Here is a 19,299-nt window from a genome sequence, read left to right as displayed (position 1 = left end):
AACAAACAAACAAGCTTAGGAGTGAATAAATTATATAGAAAATACCAAGGAAAATTTCAATTTAAGGGTTTAAGAGTAAAGTAGTTATTGATCCTTTTGGCTGAGTGAAGGGGGGTCAGGAGGAATGGTGGTTCTGCTCAATAATGAAATTCAACCAATCAACACGTGCAACAGATAAAAATAGTCAAAGATAGAAGCTTTTGCACAAGAAATAATGTTTAGTTTTGTGTAGTGTTGGTAATATATAATTAAAAGCAAAATCTCCCCTCAACCCTGAAAACCTCTCCACAAATATAGAGGAGAAAAAAAATGTATTATTGAATAAGCATTAAACCAGATTGTGAAGTACATCACAGGCAGTCTACTAAGAGATGACAAAGACTGAAAGAAATCCCGCCTTATTAAGTAGCTAAGTAGATACAACCCTTGCAAAGTGTTCTCAAGATAAACAATAGCTAGCCCCCAACAGAACACTTGAAAACACCATTTGTCAAACAAAATTTATTCTAAACTCACTTGTGAATTAAGGTGACCAACTGTTTTACCTAATTGGCCTTATCCAAAGGAAAAATACACTTCTCATATCTTTATGACAAGAGACAGTTTTGTACCTTGTAGCTAAGCTACTGCTTAAGTGAGGCGTCTATCCTCCCATAGAAACTGAGAGATAAGGGTGTTATCTTCCTTGTGATTGCATATCAAAGAGACAGTTCTCAGGTCATAGAAAGACATTGCTGGGTCTTTAAGCTGTCAAGAGCGTTATTTAGCTTTTAAAAAAGATTTACATAGGTACACTTGGAAGAGACAGAAAAATAATTTATAATGACACATTTTTTACAGTAAATGCTCTAGGAAAAGGGAAAGGAGGAGTCTCTTCCCTTATTTTCAACAGGAAGAATCAAAACTCGTATTTTTAATTTATATTTGCCCTCACAGTAGAAATGTTTATATTGCTATTTACCTAATATTATTAATAATTCTTTCTGAATGATGAGATGTGTGATTTGAGGAGAGTGGGTGTTCTCATACTGCTAACTTTCTATATATCTTTACTTATATTTTAAAAACATAAATATATATCATTTAAATGACAGATAAGTAGATGAATCAAAATTGGAGCAAAGTGTACCTCACTTTAAATTTACAGAAACAGAATTTCAGAGATAAACTCTAGAAATATGGTTCTTTTTTAACGAACTTCAAAGGTATTTTTTTCCTAACTCTTTGAGGCTCATGCTATCATATTTGGTTAATTAATATAATTAGTCAAGTAATTTCTTTATTGAAAGTACATCTAAAAAATCTCCATTACATGAATCATAATGGGAACTAAGTGTCTAATAATAAAATTAGAAGACCAATTTCCAGACTTCAAGGTACCCACAATTTGGTAATGAATACAGACATAGGAAGGGGGCCCTATAATATACCCATTGATGTTATAATAAACATTCGAAGAGATCTCCAAGGGAATATAGAGTGACTCACTTTAGGAGAGTAGAGAAATGCATCAGAAAAAAAGTGTGCCCTTGGACTCTGAGGAAAGGGTAGAAGTTTCTCAGATATGCATAGAAAAGAACGTATTTTTGGTAGGGAAACTTCAGATTGAGGAGTCTTAAGACATCTTAACAGATTTTTTTCTCATTCATCAATTACTAATATCTGATCCAAGAATGAAACAAAAGAGGTAAAAAGAGAATCTCTATTTAGTGATTTCATTTTTAAAGGATGTTTATTATTATAATTAATTATGTCTGCATATGCCTAACATTATAATTAAAAGTTTTGGGGGGCAGATTTTAAATAATTACCTATCCTAAAACACTTGAGTGGTGTAGAATGGATGAGCTCTCATTAAGTGTACTAAATAAATCGTGGTTATGATTTTGGTGTTATACAAGAGCAAAGGCCATTTTGAGTCTGGCCCATTAAAAATAGAGACACCAAAACAAACTTTAATTACGCTTTACCATTTGATGATTTTAGAAACATAGCTGGTGGCACATCACAACTTTTTGATACACTGAGTAAGACTTTTATGTCTTTTTTAACACGGTTCCTTTTTTTTTCTGTTTGTTTTCTTCCTTCCTTCCCTCCTTCCTTCCTTCCTTCCTTCATTCCTTCCCTCCTTCCTTCCTTCCTTCCCTCCTTCCTTTCTTCCTTCCTTCCTGTGTTTTGATATGTGTTTTTATTTTTGTTTAAATATTTCAAAAAATATAGTTTATCTTTTGTAATCATTATTTGAGGGAATAAATTAAAATATTACCTATGTAATAATTCATTTAAGAAATTTTCACTTTTTTCAATTGTTAAAAGAAAAACTTCAACCAAATTAAATTTAAACGAGTTTAATTGAACAATGAATGATTGTCTAATCAGTCAATTCTCAGAATCACAGCAGATTCAGAGAGACTCCTGTGATATCTCCTGGTGCAGAACAAATTTATAGACAAAAAAACGGAAGTGATATACAGAAATTGGCAGTGAGGCAGAGAAACAGCTGGATTGGTTACAGGTGGATTGGTTACAGGTTGGCATTTGCCTTATTTGAACACAGTTTGAACACTTAGTAGTCTATGAGTGGTTGAAGTATGACCGTGGGATTGGCCAAGACTCAGCTATTGTTACAGGCAGATATTCTTAAATTAGGTTTTCAATCTTGTCTGCCTATAAAGTTAGATTACAGTTTATCCACAAGGACTCAAATGTAGAAGTACAGAGCCTTTCTCAGGCCATATTTAGTTTGCTTTAACAATTCCCCTCTTTTGGTAATTTTCTCAATTTTGAGAGATTGACCAAAACTTTAGTCATCGATATCACTTTTGCCATTGTAAATGTACTTATTTGATCTTGAAACCCACTGGGAAACAGTAGAACAATGGGTTTTGCAAGGAGGGAACAAAGAATGAGTAGAGGGTACCTCCTTATGCTGAAACATTCTGTTGGCAGGAGAAAAACAAAACCTGGTCCGTTTTAGGCATATTTAACACGAGTGACTCCATTGTGGTTTGGTTTGGTCTGTTGAGGCCTAGTGCAAGAGCTCAGTTCAAAACAATGTCCTCCCATAATTTTGCTCACAAAAATTTCCCCTTTTTGGTCAGGTTGTCAGATGACAGTTTGATCAAAACTCAGTGCCTTAGTGCCACTCTCAGTTACCATCAATTTGGATTTCTAGTCTCAGCATATCACTAATAGGTTATAGTGTTCTCATGGTTACACATTTCTTTCAGCTTTTGCAATTCCTGTTGAATAGAGACCATTTAGCATTTTGGAGATGAATGCATGAAAACATTTAAAACCTCTGAGAGAATACAGTGAGCCAGGGAGACCACACTTATGACTATTAGGAGGATAATACCAAGAGTTTAGAGTATGCTCCTTACCCTGGGTCCCGATAAACCAAACCACTTAAAATCAAATTGATGAAAGAATGAGCTAGTTAAGGAACCTACTCACTTAACTAGGTGGTCTTTTTGTTAATCCACTACAACTGACCCTTTATAATACCGGATATATTTTTCCATAGGCCAAAACTGCCAGCAGCTGCACAGATAATTCTCTGTTTAGATAATTCTACTATTTAGCATAACTTACACAAAAGAATTTAAGGTGTGTTGTGTAACCATAGCCTTTACAGTAGAATCTTCTGTGTGACGTATATATGATAAAATCATTCAGCTTTGCTTTCAGGTTAAAAAAATTTATCTAATCATTTTTCCTACCTAAGTGCACAAGAAAAATGAAACAAAGGAGTAGAACACAAAAGTCCCCGTGAATTTCCAAAAGCAAAATTTGACAATCCCTGCAATATTACCATTTCCTACCAGTTTCTTTCTAACCCAGTCAGATGTAAGTGGCCTCTAACTGGATCCAAGCTGGTTAATTACCAGATCATATCTCATGCTGGACCCATTCTAGTTTCTGTCAGGACTTCAAAACCCAGTTTGGAATAGACATTTGCTCAAAGAAACTTGGAGAGCTCAAAACAGAAATCCATGGAGCTCTGAAATCTAAGAGAGAACTTACCATGATCCTCAGCTGCTCTGAGAGATTATAAGACACAAGTGGGTCCGGCGGGAACCTTGCTTGTTTACTTAGTGCTCCTAGGGATAGTTAGAAGCTCTACTTCAGATCCCACTTCTGACACCATCCGTGAAAAGAAAAACTTCAGCTGAATTAAATTTAAAGGAGTTTGAGCAATGAATGATTCACAAATCGGGCTTTAACACAATAATACAATTTCAAAGGAGATAGTTATTAAAATCTCTGATTTTATTTTTTTCCATAAACAAGAATATATACAAATATATTTTCCTGTAATACACGATGGAATAATATGCTTTGTAGTTGATACATAAAGGAGAACAAAAAATAGTTGGTATTTGGCTATGCATGGAATGGTTTACTCATGTTGTACATATTGTTTATGTTCATGTATTTTTTTTTTTTTTTTGAGATGAAGTCTTGCTCTGTCGCCCAGGCTGGAGTGCAGTGGCACGATCTCTGCTGACTGCAAGCTCCACCTCCTGGGTTCACGCCATTCTCCTGCCTCAGCCTCCCAAGTAGCTGGGACTACAGGTGCCTGCCACCACACCCGGCTATTTTTTTTGTATTTTTAGTAGAGAAGGGGTTTCACCAGGATGGTCTTGATCTCCTGACCTCATGATCTGCCCATCTCGGCCTCCCAAAGTGCTGGGATTACAGGCGTGAGCCTGTACACTTTCTTATTTCTTCACAGTATTCAAGTTTTTGAGCAAATTTTGCAATGCTGCCACTACTTTTAGTAGCAACAACAAAAACCACACTGTACACAGAGGAAATTTAGAAGAAAAAATAAAATGCATTAGTCTAATGTATTAAAAATTACCAAAGGGCAGTGACAATTTAAATTACTCTTGGTGATAAAATTTGATAATATTCAAATACAAAGCTAGGTTGATATACAAAATTTCAGAAGAAAACTAGTTCTTGGATGCTTCACAACATCATGGTAGAAACACTGAGAATGGCTTATTTCTACACACACCATAAATAAGAAACAAGTGTTAAAATATTTTTATGTTTGAAAATTATTTTTGAAAATAATTGTATTACTCTGATTTATTCTAACATATATGGTTTCATTTTATATTTACTTTTACATCTAAAGTAAAAATTCAAATATTCATATGTTAACATTTCAGTTATTTAGGGAACTATATTCTAATGCATTTATTAATTCAGTTTTTAATTTCTCTTCTACTTTCAGTTGCTTATTTCTGAACCTATAAGAGTAGTTATAAGAGAGCCAGAGCTGTTTATCAAATTAGCCTTCTACTTGGGCACACCATTTTATGCCGTTTTTAATTCTTGCATGTGACTTTACCTGTGACCATGTGTGCAAATAAAGCATGACAGTTTTGAACAAAGGCTTTTAAAAAAATATATTACCTTAGGTAAGGCCACATTTCCCATCAGCTGACTAGATATGGAAGACAAGGTGACCAAAAAATGGTGAAGCTATAAGGTGGAAAAAATAGGCTAGGTCCTTGAATCCTTACATGGAAGAAAACATCTACCTCTATTGCCTGACTGAGAAATAAACCTGTATATGAGTCTTTTTACTTTGTGGATCTCTTTAACTTACTATAATATAGACATAACTTAATGGGTCAATTTTGAATTACTTAGTAGTTGTCCCAAAGTTATAGGTGAAATAATTCAATTAAAAGTTTTTGATAATTACTTGATTAAATTCTCTATATTCTCCCTCCCTTGGTACCATTAGAGTAATTTTAAATTTATTCCTTCCAAAGATGACATTTTTAAAACGTATATTTTACAAAATATCTTAAGACATTTGGGAAACTGAAAAGAAAAAGGAAGCACGTTAGTAATTCTAGAAAAACACTTTTCATCACATCTTCCCATATCAGAAATTGTTCTCAGCACTCTATACATTTACAATTTGTAAATAATAAAGCTACGATTCCTAGTGAAATAACAAGAAAGCAAACTCATTTATTTAAATGAAGAATTTTGTTTACAAGAAATACATTAACAATGATGCATTATCATTGCTCCCGTTGTTTAGCTAAGGTTCTGTTAACTAAAATAAATAATCTTTGTTATCAAAAGAAAAGTGAAAGATAGTTGTGGCTGACAGGCAACAAATTGCTCATCAGGGCTTAGAACATTTTGTGAAGACTCATAATCATTACAATATAGCACTGAAACATACAGCTAGAACATAATTGTTTCTATTTTATTCAGGCTTCTAGTATGGATAGACAAGCAAAACAATGATGTGAAAGAACAATATGAAAAGAAATAATTTCATAGTATAAGTTTCAAATAATAGTTTTAATAAAAAATAAATGGGGAGTCTGCATTGAATATAAAATAAATTTGATCTGAATAGCAATATAGAAATTTATCAGCAATTAAAAACTGATGGGCAGGAGTTCATTTTTAAGCTAGCACTAAAATTGCACAGAAACTATAAATTACAAATATAGTTAATCTAACATTTATTCCATACATTTATATATGTTACTGTATTTCCATAAAGTAAATATGATAATTGATATAATGCTGAAAGAATAAAAATTCCTCTTAAGCAGTCATTTTTTCATTGCAAAATCTGACACCCAAGTCAGATTTATTTATAATGACTGTATTATCTGGATCTACTTTTCTTTTCTTTTGTAGGTTGTAGATTTAAACTTCAAGTCAAGGTGGAGTCACACTAGCAGCAACTTAAAAATGTACTTATAAATGTCTGCACTTTACAATTTTTACATATGACTGTTTCTAAAGCACAAAATATAACCAAGCAAACACACAGATCCATGATTTTATTTGATGAAGTAATATAAAGAGATTTTCAGTGAAAACTTGCAAATCCTTATATAGCTAGTAACTATCCTAATTTTAGTCATTCTCTAGAGGGTTTTTTTCTTTATTCTATGCTTAGCACAGACTCCAAGCAAATTATTTCAAGACTAGAGGCATGTATATATGCAAGGAGAATAGCATAAAATATGCTCTTTCATTTTCATGTAATTTAAAAGATTGGTTAAGACATCACCTTTGTGACTTTTTCTCAACATGGAATTCAGTAGGATAGAACAAATCAGAAAAAGAAATTTAAAAAAGAAGTACTTAGGGTGAGTAAACTGATATGTACTATGATTAAACATTGGGGAGTTAATGCTCAATTTGGTCAAAGTACATGAGTATGGTTTAGTAGTAAGACTAGAAGTCCAGTTCAGAGTAGTGATATGTAATATACAATCTGTATTTTTAAAAATATATTCACATGCTATTTTATTTTCATAGTCACTTCTAGAGTTCTGCAAGTATTACTTGCTTTGCAACTGGGCACAGAAAACAGGTCAGTTTTAGTCTAAAGTGATATGGCAAATTTAAAAATATGTATGATAAAGATAAAATCCTACATTTCTACCGTTCTTACATCTTAAGCTTTAATTGGTAATAATGTTATAGGTATATATTAGATTAATACAATTAACTAAATATATTTCTATATTTTTTATTTAATATGTATAGTGCATATGTTTACATATATACAAATGTAGTGCATATACATACAATATATTTATATTTATATGTGTATAAGGTAATACATAGTACCTCAGAAACTTGGAGCATGATCTTAATGGGAATCAGGAGAATGCTCACAAGACAGCCATAGAAATTAGCTAGTAAAGTGATCTTCACTTGTGGAAATTTTGGCCACACCGTTTTGAATTATAAAGGAGATTCAAGTATTTTCTATGCTCATTAGTCAGAATAAAACAGAACAAGAATAATCGCTCTTTTCTCCTCCCTCTGCCAGTAAATGAAAATATGTTTATGTGCACATGGATATGTACACTTACATATGTGCATATACAAATATGCACACACACAATATCAGCCTATAGAATTTAAGCAAATATGAAAAGGGCAGTCCTTCTCAATGGATACAAACCTGCAGGGAGCATGCCTCAGTGAATAAATGAAGCCTTTTTGTGAAGAAGCAAATGTCCCTGCATTCACATAGGTGCAATGCCACAATTTATATCTGATAAGTGGTTTATTTCCAAAATATATAAGAAACTCAAGCCGGGCACAGTGGCTCATGCTTGTAATCCCAGCACTTAGGGAGGCCGAGGCGGGTGGATCACAAGGTCAGGAGTTTGAGACCATCCTGGCTAACACAGTGAAACCCCATCTCTACTAAAAATTAGCCAGGCGTGGTGGCGGGCACCTGTAGTCCCATCTACTCGGGAGGCTGAGGCAGGAGAATCACTTAAATCCGGGAGGTGGAGGTTGCAGTGAGCAGAGATCACACCACTGCACTCCAGCCTGGGCAACAGAGTGAGACTCTATCTCAAAAAAAAAAAAAAATATATATATATATATATATATATATATATTTATCAAAATATGTATATTTTTATTATATTATATTATATTATATATGTTAGGAAAGCTATTAGCAAAAAGAAAAAAGATAACAAGTGTTTGCAAGGATGTGGAGAAAAGGGAACCCTTGTAGGCTATGAGTGAAAATGTAAATTATTCTTGCCATTTTGGAAAATAATACGAAGGATCCTCAAAAAATTAAAAATAGCACTACCGTATGACCCAAGATCTACTTCTGAGCATATATCTGCGGGAAATAAAATCAATGTTTTGAACTTGATATCCACTGCAGCGTTATTCACAATAGCCAAGATACGGAGTCAGTCAAAGCATCTGTTGATGGATAAGGAAATATGTGTGTCTGAATATTATTCAGTCTTTAAAAAGAAGAACATCCTGCCATTTGTGACAAGTTGGATAAATCTGGAAAACATTATGCTAAGCGAAATAAACTAGTTATAGAAAGACAAATATTGCATGATATCACTTATATGTGGAATCTAAAACATTCTAACTTAGAGATTTGGCATAACTTAGAGAAATTTTAAGTAAAATACGGTCTTCTCGGGCTTGGGCTGTGGGAAAAATGGGGAGATGTTGGTTCAGATTATACTATCTTTCACATCTAAGATGAACAAGTTCTAGATATCCAATGTGCAGCATGGTAACTATAGTTAATAATGTACACTGGAAGTGTGCTGTTTCTCACCACACACACACACACACACACACACACACACAAATGGGTAACTATGTGAGGTGATATATATGTTAATTATCTTGATTGTGAGAGTCATTACATAAAGTATACTTACATCAAAACACCACATTTACACCTTAAATATACTTACAAGCCTTCCTATTTGTCACTTATACCTCATAAAGTTGAGTAAAATGATAAAATTAAATTAAATTAAAAAATAGAAAAAGTAAAAGCACATTGCAAAATGATGCATTAGTCACTAAAAAACTGGAAGCATAAAACCTGACCTGTGAGCCTTTGCAGATGGGAGTTGGAGACCTCCAATCAACTGGCATAAAATTAGTTTAATTCGGAGGATAAAATACTTTTATCATTGAACAAAGTGGAATACTGAACTATAAAATGAAAGTCTCTAATGAGGATCTAACACTGAGGAGTGTAAGAGAATGCCATTGGCCATGTATCATGTGAAAAGCCTGTAGAGAGATATGTTGGGAAGGTGGTGAGTTTGTTAGGAGCAGAGAAACTAAGTAGAATGATAGAATATGATATACATTCTAGGGCTGTGACAACTTCTAAAATGTCCACTCATTTACTGCTTGGGCATTGTAATATTTCATAGCATGGGATCTTGCTTCAGGGTAGATTTGCATGTCAATGAAATGAAACAATTTTAGACAATTGTCCCATTCTTCCCACCTCACATCTTCAATATGATATTCTAATGCTTGCAATCATAAATATGTGAACATTGAACTTGCCATCTAACTGGGTAAGTAAAAATATTTTGTAGTTTCAAAGGTGATATTAAAAATAAAGAAACAAATAGGAAAAAAAAAAGGTAGTTTCAGAAATGATGGCATCTCCAAAGCGCTGAGAAAGATATACTTAACCTCCAATATGTCAGTAAAAAGAAGCTGTAGTTTCATTACTTAAATTTACTATTGGAGTTCAAAGAATATTTACCTTGCCAATCAACTATTATTCAGGATGATATGATAATTAATTTATATTATCTCAAAACACATAATCTGACAGTGAGATGTTTCTAAGAAGCACATTGGATTATATTTTAAGAATCCATTATGACGTTAAATATTTACAGTGAAAGAATGTATAGTAGTTCTTTTTGGTATGTATTTATTTATACAACATAGAATGATAATTGCATATAGGTCTACCACTGTGTATGTAACAAAAAACATTCAAAATTATAAGATTATTTCATAAGGTTTTCCCTAAGGCCGATGTGTTTACGGAGAGCTAGCATAGGTGGAAAATGAAAGGACAGGATAAGTAGAAAAGAGGATTACATTCAATGTTCATGTAAGCTAGGTATTTTATTTTGAGAATCCACTCTCATAAATGATATTCCTTGACATCATTATTATTCTGTTCTCCTCAGTTCAATACATTGGAATCAATGTTGTTTCTAGTTTTGTTTTGTTTTTATGCTTTTTCTATTTGTTCTTTCCTATTTCCCATTTCCTTCACCTCTCAGCTTTCACCACTTCTATTTTACCCAGATATTTTGCTTCTAATAACACATTTACACAGCTGCTACACTAGTTAATGCTTTCATTATTGCCCAGCCAGACAATTATTTAACTCTATCTATTCTCCTTTCTCCTAAATCTAGCTGTCAGATTACCTTTTCAGACACATCTCCTATTGTTGTATTTGTTAATATATGTGTATATTAGCGCTACATTATATTAAAAATAAGCTTTCTATTTTTTAAATGGTAATAAAAAAGACTATGTACCTGAAATATATAAAGCAATCATAAAAATGTCATTAAGGTGGTCTAAAAACAATAGGAAATTTATAATACAAAATTAAATCTTTCTTGGTCAACCAAGATGAAATTGCCTTCCCTTCCATCAATTTCTATCTTTGAAAAATCTTTCCCACTGGAAAGTCAGGGTTGAAAGGCTAGTGTGGCTAAGGTTTACATGCCAATTGTTTTTCCCATATTGATTTTCAAGAACAAAATATCAATAAAATATTTATAGAATATGTAACAAATAATAGAGAAAAAATAAAATATTTTCTTAAAGTTATAGTTCTTACTTTTCTTTTGGTAATTGTATTTAGCTGCTTATTTTATTTACAAATAGCTGAAAGAATAAGCCATATGCATTGTAGTTTCCTCCATTGGTCTATTTTTTTAATAAAAACTTTACCAATTAAGAAATTAGCATTGAGAAAATGTTTTAAAAATTAAAGTCATTATGTCTTCTTTTTTCTTACATTAAAAATAAGCCTAGATTTAAAAACATATATATATTTATATATATATTTATATATATATAATTTTAATCTATCGTAGGTTGGAAGAAGCTAAAAAATTGACACTGTTATAGATGAAAACAAAGGGAAAAAACACATGGTCAAGCATGATGCATTAGAAATAGACAGAAGAAAGAAATTGAGAAATTTCTGAAGACAGGATAATTGCATCATATTTTACTATAGAATATACAGAAAATAAAGATAAACATTGCAATTATTTCATATACTCTGAATTTTTGTAACATGTCTTTGTTATAATTTGACAAAATGCCAAAAAAGTTAGCATTCTGGCGGATGACTTTTTCTATCAGTTCCACAAATATATGCTGAACCATTTGCACCATCTGCTGTGTAAGCTTTTGCAGAAAGAAGGACAATAGACACTTTTGGATATCAATGTTAAAATGTAATTTAAGAGAATATACTGTATCAAAGAGAAAGAAACCAAAATAAATAAAATGACAAGAAGGTTCAGAACAGGATGGAAAAATAATGAAAGTTGAATCTTCTCATCATACCTTGCCTTTGATATGTTTGGAAATATTTACATAGAAATATGATATTTCTTAGCGATACAAAGTAAAATAAATTTTAATCAAACTATTCTTTGGAATACTAATAAGTAAGAAATATATTGTTGGGCCACATTCTTTAATTAAACGTATGTAGGTATTCCCACATAGTAGGAAATGATAACAGATAAGAAAGCATTTTGTGTTAATTAATTTAAATATTTGTAGAAAACAGTTTATAAGTATCAAACTGTTGTTTTATAAAATATGTGCTATATTCTCTAAACACAGACTTTTTATTGAGTTATTTATGGCATGAGTCCAAGGATGGTTTTACATAACTGTGCAGTAATAATATTCTGGTTTTAGATGACTATCTCTCAATGTAAATGCTCTTTCTTAGGATTATGTCAATTTATAGGACAGTAAATCACACACACACACACACGCATGTACGCACGCACAGATATGCCCTTCAGAAGGAAGAAGAACCATTGCATTGTTCTCATTTGCGGGAAAGTGCTTTTTCTTTGACTACTCCTCAGCTGACCTCAGTACATGACTGTGAAACTCATTTTCTGGAAGAATTACAAGATCTCTAGCTGAGCTCATTAGCTTTTATCCTGGACTTGTGAATTCCAGTGTTCTTGCGTGGAAACCAGAAATTAATTTATTCAATTCTTTATTTATATTTTTATTAGTTTAAGGAAACAAAGTACATATAAATTTATTTGACTATATAAACATAAAAACACAAAGCTATTATAATAATCTGAGTTAAAATTGTCTTGTTTTCACCATACAGCTTTCTTACTTATCCTTAAAGTACTTTAGACTTTGATTTTTAGTTCTGAATATTTGGGCACATGAACATATACGCTACTCTCATGAGCTTGATGATAGTCCCCTAAAAGATATTTTCATATCTTAATTTCAAGGATCTGTGAGTATTGCCTTATATGGCAAAAGATGCGATTAAATTAAGGATTTTGAGAGATTGGGTTATCTTGGATGATATAGGTAGGCCCTAAATCCAAGTGCCCTTGTAAGAGTAAAGCAGAGAGTGATTTGGTAGAGAAACAGAATGGGAAGCAATGTGATCACAAGGGTAGAAAGTGGAGTGATGTGGAGAGTCACAAAATGCCAACAACCACCAAAAGCTAGAAGAGGCAAAAAACACACAAATTATTCTTTATATTACCCCAGAGAGAGTCTAACCATGACAGATTTCCGAAGTCTAGGCTCCAAAATTGTGAGATAATAAATTTCTATTGTTTTGAGCCATCAGGTTCATGGAAAAGTATCACAGTAGCCTCAGAAAAGCAATACAGTATCCTTGGAAAATAAAAGAAAAGACTATGAAATTTTTACACATTCAGAAATAATTGTTGAGACTTAAAGAACACAAAGATACTATTATTTTAATTTCAAAAATTAGTAGTTATATCTCTTAATCATGTATTGAATCAATATAATGTCCCAAGCTCTATGATGGCCACCACAAGGATTAAAAAAAGGTTTGGTCTCGCCTCTTCAGGATTTCACAATATAGCAACATGTCCCATCTATATCATATGTACAACGTAGCTCAAAAAGCTAAATATCAAGCTTTAATGGAATAAGAGGCAAGCAGAAATGTGACCAAATTCACTGTAATCAACTTCTAGACAGTGTGTTATGATGGAAAATATATTAAGTTTAAATCTGAATTCTTCCACCCATGACCAGCAGACTGTAGGCAAGAAAAATAAAATTGTTGAGGCTCTGTATCCTTATGTCTAAAGATTACTGAAATTTTCTTAGATAATAGATCTGGAGAAGGAATAAATGAGTTAATTCCTATAAAATGCAAATACCTTTTGTCTTAATAATGCTTCAAAGCAATTAGTAGATAACTTCCATCTGCCAAACTTTCCAATGGTTGCTTTATTTTGGGGTGGGCAACTCATTTCACTTTTTTTTTTTTTGGAGTTTTCCAGTTGTACCATTGAAAGTCTCATGTCTTGGAAGTCTCCTTAATCCTAGTCAAACTGCAAAAGTTGGTCACCCTATTTCTTAATGGTCACTAAACACCTGGCCCACAATCAATGATGCTTCTGGTATTCATGTTCTTTTGTGGTCCTTATTGAATTTAGTCTGTCTGTTTTCTTCATTTACCAATATAAGGCAGCCAGATTAATAGTCTGAGACTACTCAGTCTGAGTTTGGAAACTGGCAGCCTTTGCGTTTGTGTTCTCTGGAAATCCAGTAATGCAAAAAGAAAAAAAAAAATATGTGGCATTAAGCCACTAGGTTTGTGGTCATTTGCAACTGTAATAGGCTACTATAGTAATGGTAGAATGATGATAGGTTGATGATTACACCACAGGCAGCAAGGCAATAGGTGTGGTGCTATACCTGCATGAAAGGATTTGGCCCAGGACACATGGTGAGGAGTTAATGCTCAGGTATCTTTCATTAAGATAGAATAGACACTTAGAAATTGAAATTATTTCATATATTCTGAATTTTTCTAACGTGTTATCAAATATTTTATTTAATTTATTTAATTCCTTTGAAAGCTACAGATGGAAACTTGCTGGTGTGTGATGAAGATCTTTGCTTCCACACTCAACCTATGGCCAGGTATTTGTTTCTCATTTTGAAAGGCAAGTCAAATAGTGACATATTAATTTATTACCACACTTCCGTGGTGTAAGAAATTAGTTTGTTACTCAGTAAAATGTCAGCCTATATAAATTCCATCTCATGTAATTGGGAGCTCAGATGTATAATTTCCTCAGCCTTTGGCCACCTTTGCTTAACAGCCCTTGAAGAAGACAGTGCTTAGTTCTTTATATTTAATTCTGGCTGCTCCAAAATATAGGCAAGTAGCTAGTTGCTCAGAAATAGGCTGGTCTAGATTCTGGCAGGAACTATGGTTCAACTCTTTAAAGAAGTCCAAGAAAGCTCTTGTGTTTGGGTAAATAAACCAAATTGGAAAAGAACACTACAGTTTGATAGAAAGAGAGATGCTTCTTGCCAGGGAAACCTGCTTATCTCATGCAAAAGAGAGAATATAGTTTGTTCTTCTTCATATATTAATTAATATTTATTTTAAAATGGTATTTCTAAATATACTTATATCCAGCTACAGTCAACATTATTACAGTTTACCAAACTTGCTCTGCTCTTAGATGCTGAACTAAGTTTGAACACATGCTATGTAATGCTTTGCAGAGTTTTAAAGAACAATCTAGTCTAAATAATCAATATTTATATCCTCAAAAGTCCTTCCAAGTAGAAATAGAAAATGTCTAGGATATCGGTTATATCTCTGTAGCCAGATGCCTGGGGTTCAATCTTTACTCTGCCATGTATCACTGTGTGATCTTCCGCAATCTACTTAGCCAGTGCCACATTTCTTCCTGTGTTAACCTTGGTTGAAAATTGTATCTGTTTCATAATGCTGCCAAAAGAATTAGATTAATTCATATTTTTAAAGTGCTCAGAACAGTGTCTTGATGCTAAGAGGTGCTAAAATGTATATTAATTATAAAGATTCAAGAAAAGTAAAGGACAGTAAGGTAGAAATTAAGAAATGATATCAGAATTTCAGAAGTTGTTAATCGAAACAAAATGCCAAGGTTGGCTTTAATCAGGGGCCATTTGGTTGCAATCAACAGGAATGATTATTTGATTAGTTAAGGCAAAAAGAGGAATATATTAAAACATACGCAAAATCAAATGGCAAGAAACAGTCATCAGAAGATGCAACAGGAACTGGAAGATTGAGAGTCAAGATTTTTCTTTCTAAACTTCCACAGACTTTTATCATTTACTTCTTTCACGTGATTTGTATTTCTGCCTTAACAAACTTAACTTTGCTTTGATATTTCCCTTACAGAAAATTATCACTCAATTTCTCCCTTGGCACGGCTCTACAGCGCCCAAAACAGAGTAGCTCAAGTGACTATTTTGTAGGTAAAAACTTGTATTACTGCAGGTTTGGTCAGATTTTCATTCTGTTAGAGGTGGTGTGCACCTTTATTTTGTTAGAGTTGGTGTGCAGTGGAAAGACATTCCTGAGATGTATGTCCACGATAATCCATTATTCTCTTTCATAAGATGTTGGCTTTTGGATGGAACTTCTGATTATTTTAAGAAACACTTCCAACCTTGTTCTCTAAACTGAAGACAAATTTAAAAACATGAAGCTGTCTATAGATTTAATATATTTAACAACCCTCAACTTCTGTAAAATAATTTAGGTGTTTTAAATGATGACATAAGGGGAATGAGGTTTAGCCTATGGTATATTTAAATGAGAATAAGACATTTGCATTTTCTCCCAAGAATACATTTTCAAAATCAAAATTTCAATAATATGACCAATAAAAAATTGGGGAAATTAGAAGAAATGGAAATACAAAGTAGCAAATATGGGTTTGAGGTCTACACTGTGTATATGAATGCTTGATATTCTTGGAACATTTACTGTTTGCTAACATAGAAGACCTTATGATCTTGCCTTTCTTAAACCTCCTATTATCTTGTTAATTTCTCCTTTCTTTTTCACTAAAAGTCATTTGCCTGTGGTCTCAATTCAGATCCCTCTATATGACTCAGGTTTTACCTGAGTCCAGAAGTGGGAATAAAATATTATTCTATTCAATGACCTCTGCAGACTTAAATGTCCCTGTCTGACAGCTTTGAAGAGAGCAGTGGTTCTCCCAGCACGCAGCTGGAGACCTGAGAACGGGCAGACTGCCTCCTCAGGTGGGTCCCTGACCCCTGACCCCCGAGCAGCCTAACTGGGAGGCACCCCCCAGTAGGGGCAGACTGACACCTCACATGGCCGGGTACTCCTCTGAGACAAAACTTCCAGAGGAACAATCAGATAGCAGCATTCGTGGTTCATGAAAATCCGCGGTTCTGCAGCCACCGCTGCTGTTACCCAGGCAAACAGGGTCTGGAGTGGACCTCTAGGAAACTCCAACAGACCTGCAGCTGAGGGTCCTGTCTGTTAGAAGGAAAACTAACAAACAGAAAGGACATCCACATGAAAAACCCATCTGTACATCACCATCATCAAAGACCAAAAGTAGATAAAACCACAAAGATGGGGAAAAAACAGAACAGAAAAACTGGAAACTCTAAAAAGCAGAGCGCCTCTCCTCCTCCAAAGGAACGCAGTTCCTCACCAGCAACGAAACAAAGTTGGACGGAGAATGACTTTGACGAGTTGAGAGAAGAAGCCTTCAGACGATCAAACTACTCCGAGCTACAGGAGGAAATTCAAACCAAAGGCAAAGAAGTTGAAAACTTTGAAAAAAATTTAGACGAATGTATAACTAGAATAACCAATACAGAGAAGTGCTTAAAGGAGCTGATGGAGCCGAAAGCCAAGGCTCGAGAACTACGTGAAGAATGCAGAAGCCTCAGGAGCCGATGCGATCAACTGGAAGAAAGGGTATCAGTAATGGAAGATGAAATGAATGAAATGAAGTGAGAAGGGAAGTTTAGAGAAAAAAGAATAAAAAGAAATGAACAAAGCCTCCAAGAAATATGGGACTATGTGAAAAGACCAAATCTACGTCTGATTGGTGTACCTGAAAATGACGGGGAGAATGGAACCAAGTTGGAAAACACTCTGCAGTATATTATCCAGGAGAACTTCCCCAGTATAGCAAGGCAGGCCAACATTCAGATTCAGGAAATACAGAGAACGCCACAAAGACACTCCTCGAGAAGAGCAACTCCAAGACACATAATTGTCAGATTCACCAAAGTTGAAATGAAGGAAAAAATATTAAGGGCAGCCAGAGAGAAAGGTCGGGTTACCCACAAAGGGAAGCCCATCAGACTAACAGTGGATCTCTCAGCAGAAACTCTACAAGCCAGAAGAGAGTGGGGGCCAATATTCAACATTCTTAAAGAAGAGAATTTTCAACCCAGAATTTCATATCCAGCCAAACTAAGCTTCATAAGTGAAGGAGAAATAAAATCCTTTACAGACAAGCAAATGCTGAGAGATTTTGTCACCACCAGGCCTGCCCTAAAAGAGCTCCTGAAGGAAGCACTAAACATGGAAAGGAACAACAGGTACCAGCCACTGCAAAATCATGCCAAATTGTAAAGACCATCAAGGCTAGGAAGAAACTGCATCAACTAATGAGCAAAATAACCAGCTAACATCAAAATGACAGGATCAAATTCACACATAACAATATTAACTTCAAATATAAATGGATGAAATGCTCCAATTAAAAGACACAGACTGGCAATTGGATAAAGAGTCAAGACCCATCAGTGTGCTGTATTCAGGAAACCCATCTCACATGCAGAGACACACATAGGCTCAAAATAAAAGGATGGAGGAAGATCTACCAAGCAAATGGAGAACAAAAAAAGGCAGGGGTTGCAATCCTAGTCTCTGATAAAACAGACTTTAAGCCAACAAAGATCAAAAGAGACAAAGAAGGCCATTACATAATGGTAAAGGGATCAATTCAACAAGAAGAGCTAACTATCCTAAATATATGTGCACCCAACACAGGAGCACCCAGTTTCAATATGTATTTTTATAAATGGCATGACAAATATATTCATTCATTAGCAAATATTTATTTTGCCAAATACTTGTTCGTAAAATTGGGTAAGTCTATAATTTTTGTCTTCAAAGATATCATAGGTGAAAGGGCAAAACAGGTAAATAAACAGGTTCCTAACAAATTCAGAACATTTGTAGAAGGTAAGTAGTGGTTGCAAGTGATGAAGCTTCTAGGATGAAGCATCTTATAATTTGCTGGCAGAAGTTATCCCAAATAGTGAAAGGAAGAATGGGATAAGGTGCTGTTACAGAGAAAGAATTACAAGCTAGGGAACATGCAATTGGTGGTTTGGTATGGCTGAAATATTGAATGCAAGGGGTAGAAAGTAAAAAAAATATGCCCAGGAAACAAGAAGGAGAAGATCAAGGAAGTTCTACTCAATCTATTAAAGGTTTTAGGTATTAAGTCACAGACAATAAAGTTTTGGAAAGCAAAAAGTCAGCAAAATCAAATCCCATTGTATAGGCTAGGTGTGGTGGCTCACACCTATAATCCCAGCACTTTGACAGGCCAAGACAGGTGGATTGCTTGGGTTCAGGAGTTTGAGATCAGTCTGGCCAACATAATGAAACCCCATCTCTACGAAAATAAAAAGATTAGCCTGGTGTGGTGGTGCACTCCCATAATCCCAGCTGCTGAGGAGGCTGAGGCAGGAGAATCGCTTAATCCCAGGAGGCAGAGTTTACAGTGAGCAGAGATTGTGCCACTACACTCCAGCCTGGGCAACAGAGCAAGTCTTTGTTAAAAAAAAAAAAAAAAAAAAAAAAAAAAAAAAGAGAGAGAG

General features: G+C 34.0%; 1 annotated feature.

The window, feature by feature from the left end:
- Positions 278 to 949: an enhancer, noted in NCBI's record as "NANOG hESC enhancer chr6:67397461-67398132 (GRCh37/hg19 assembly coordinates)". NCBI's record gives its function as "activates a minimal SCP1, AML or CMV promoter by ChIP-STARR-seq in naive H9 embryonic stem cells {active_cell/tissue: H9 hESC(naive)}" and the evidence as "EXISTENCE:reporter gene assay evidence [ECO:0000049][PMID:30033119]".

The sequence above is a fragment of the Homo sapiens genome, chromosome 6 (genome assembly GCF_000001405.40).
Source record: "Homo sapiens chromosome 6, GRCh38.p14 Primary Assembly".
Classification (NCBI taxonomy): domain Eukaryota; kingdom Metazoa; phylum Chordata; class Mammalia; order Primates; family Hominidae; genus Homo; species Homo sapiens.
Note: the sequence above shows the minus strand (reverse complement) of the source record. Positions and strands in the feature narration are given on the sequence as shown.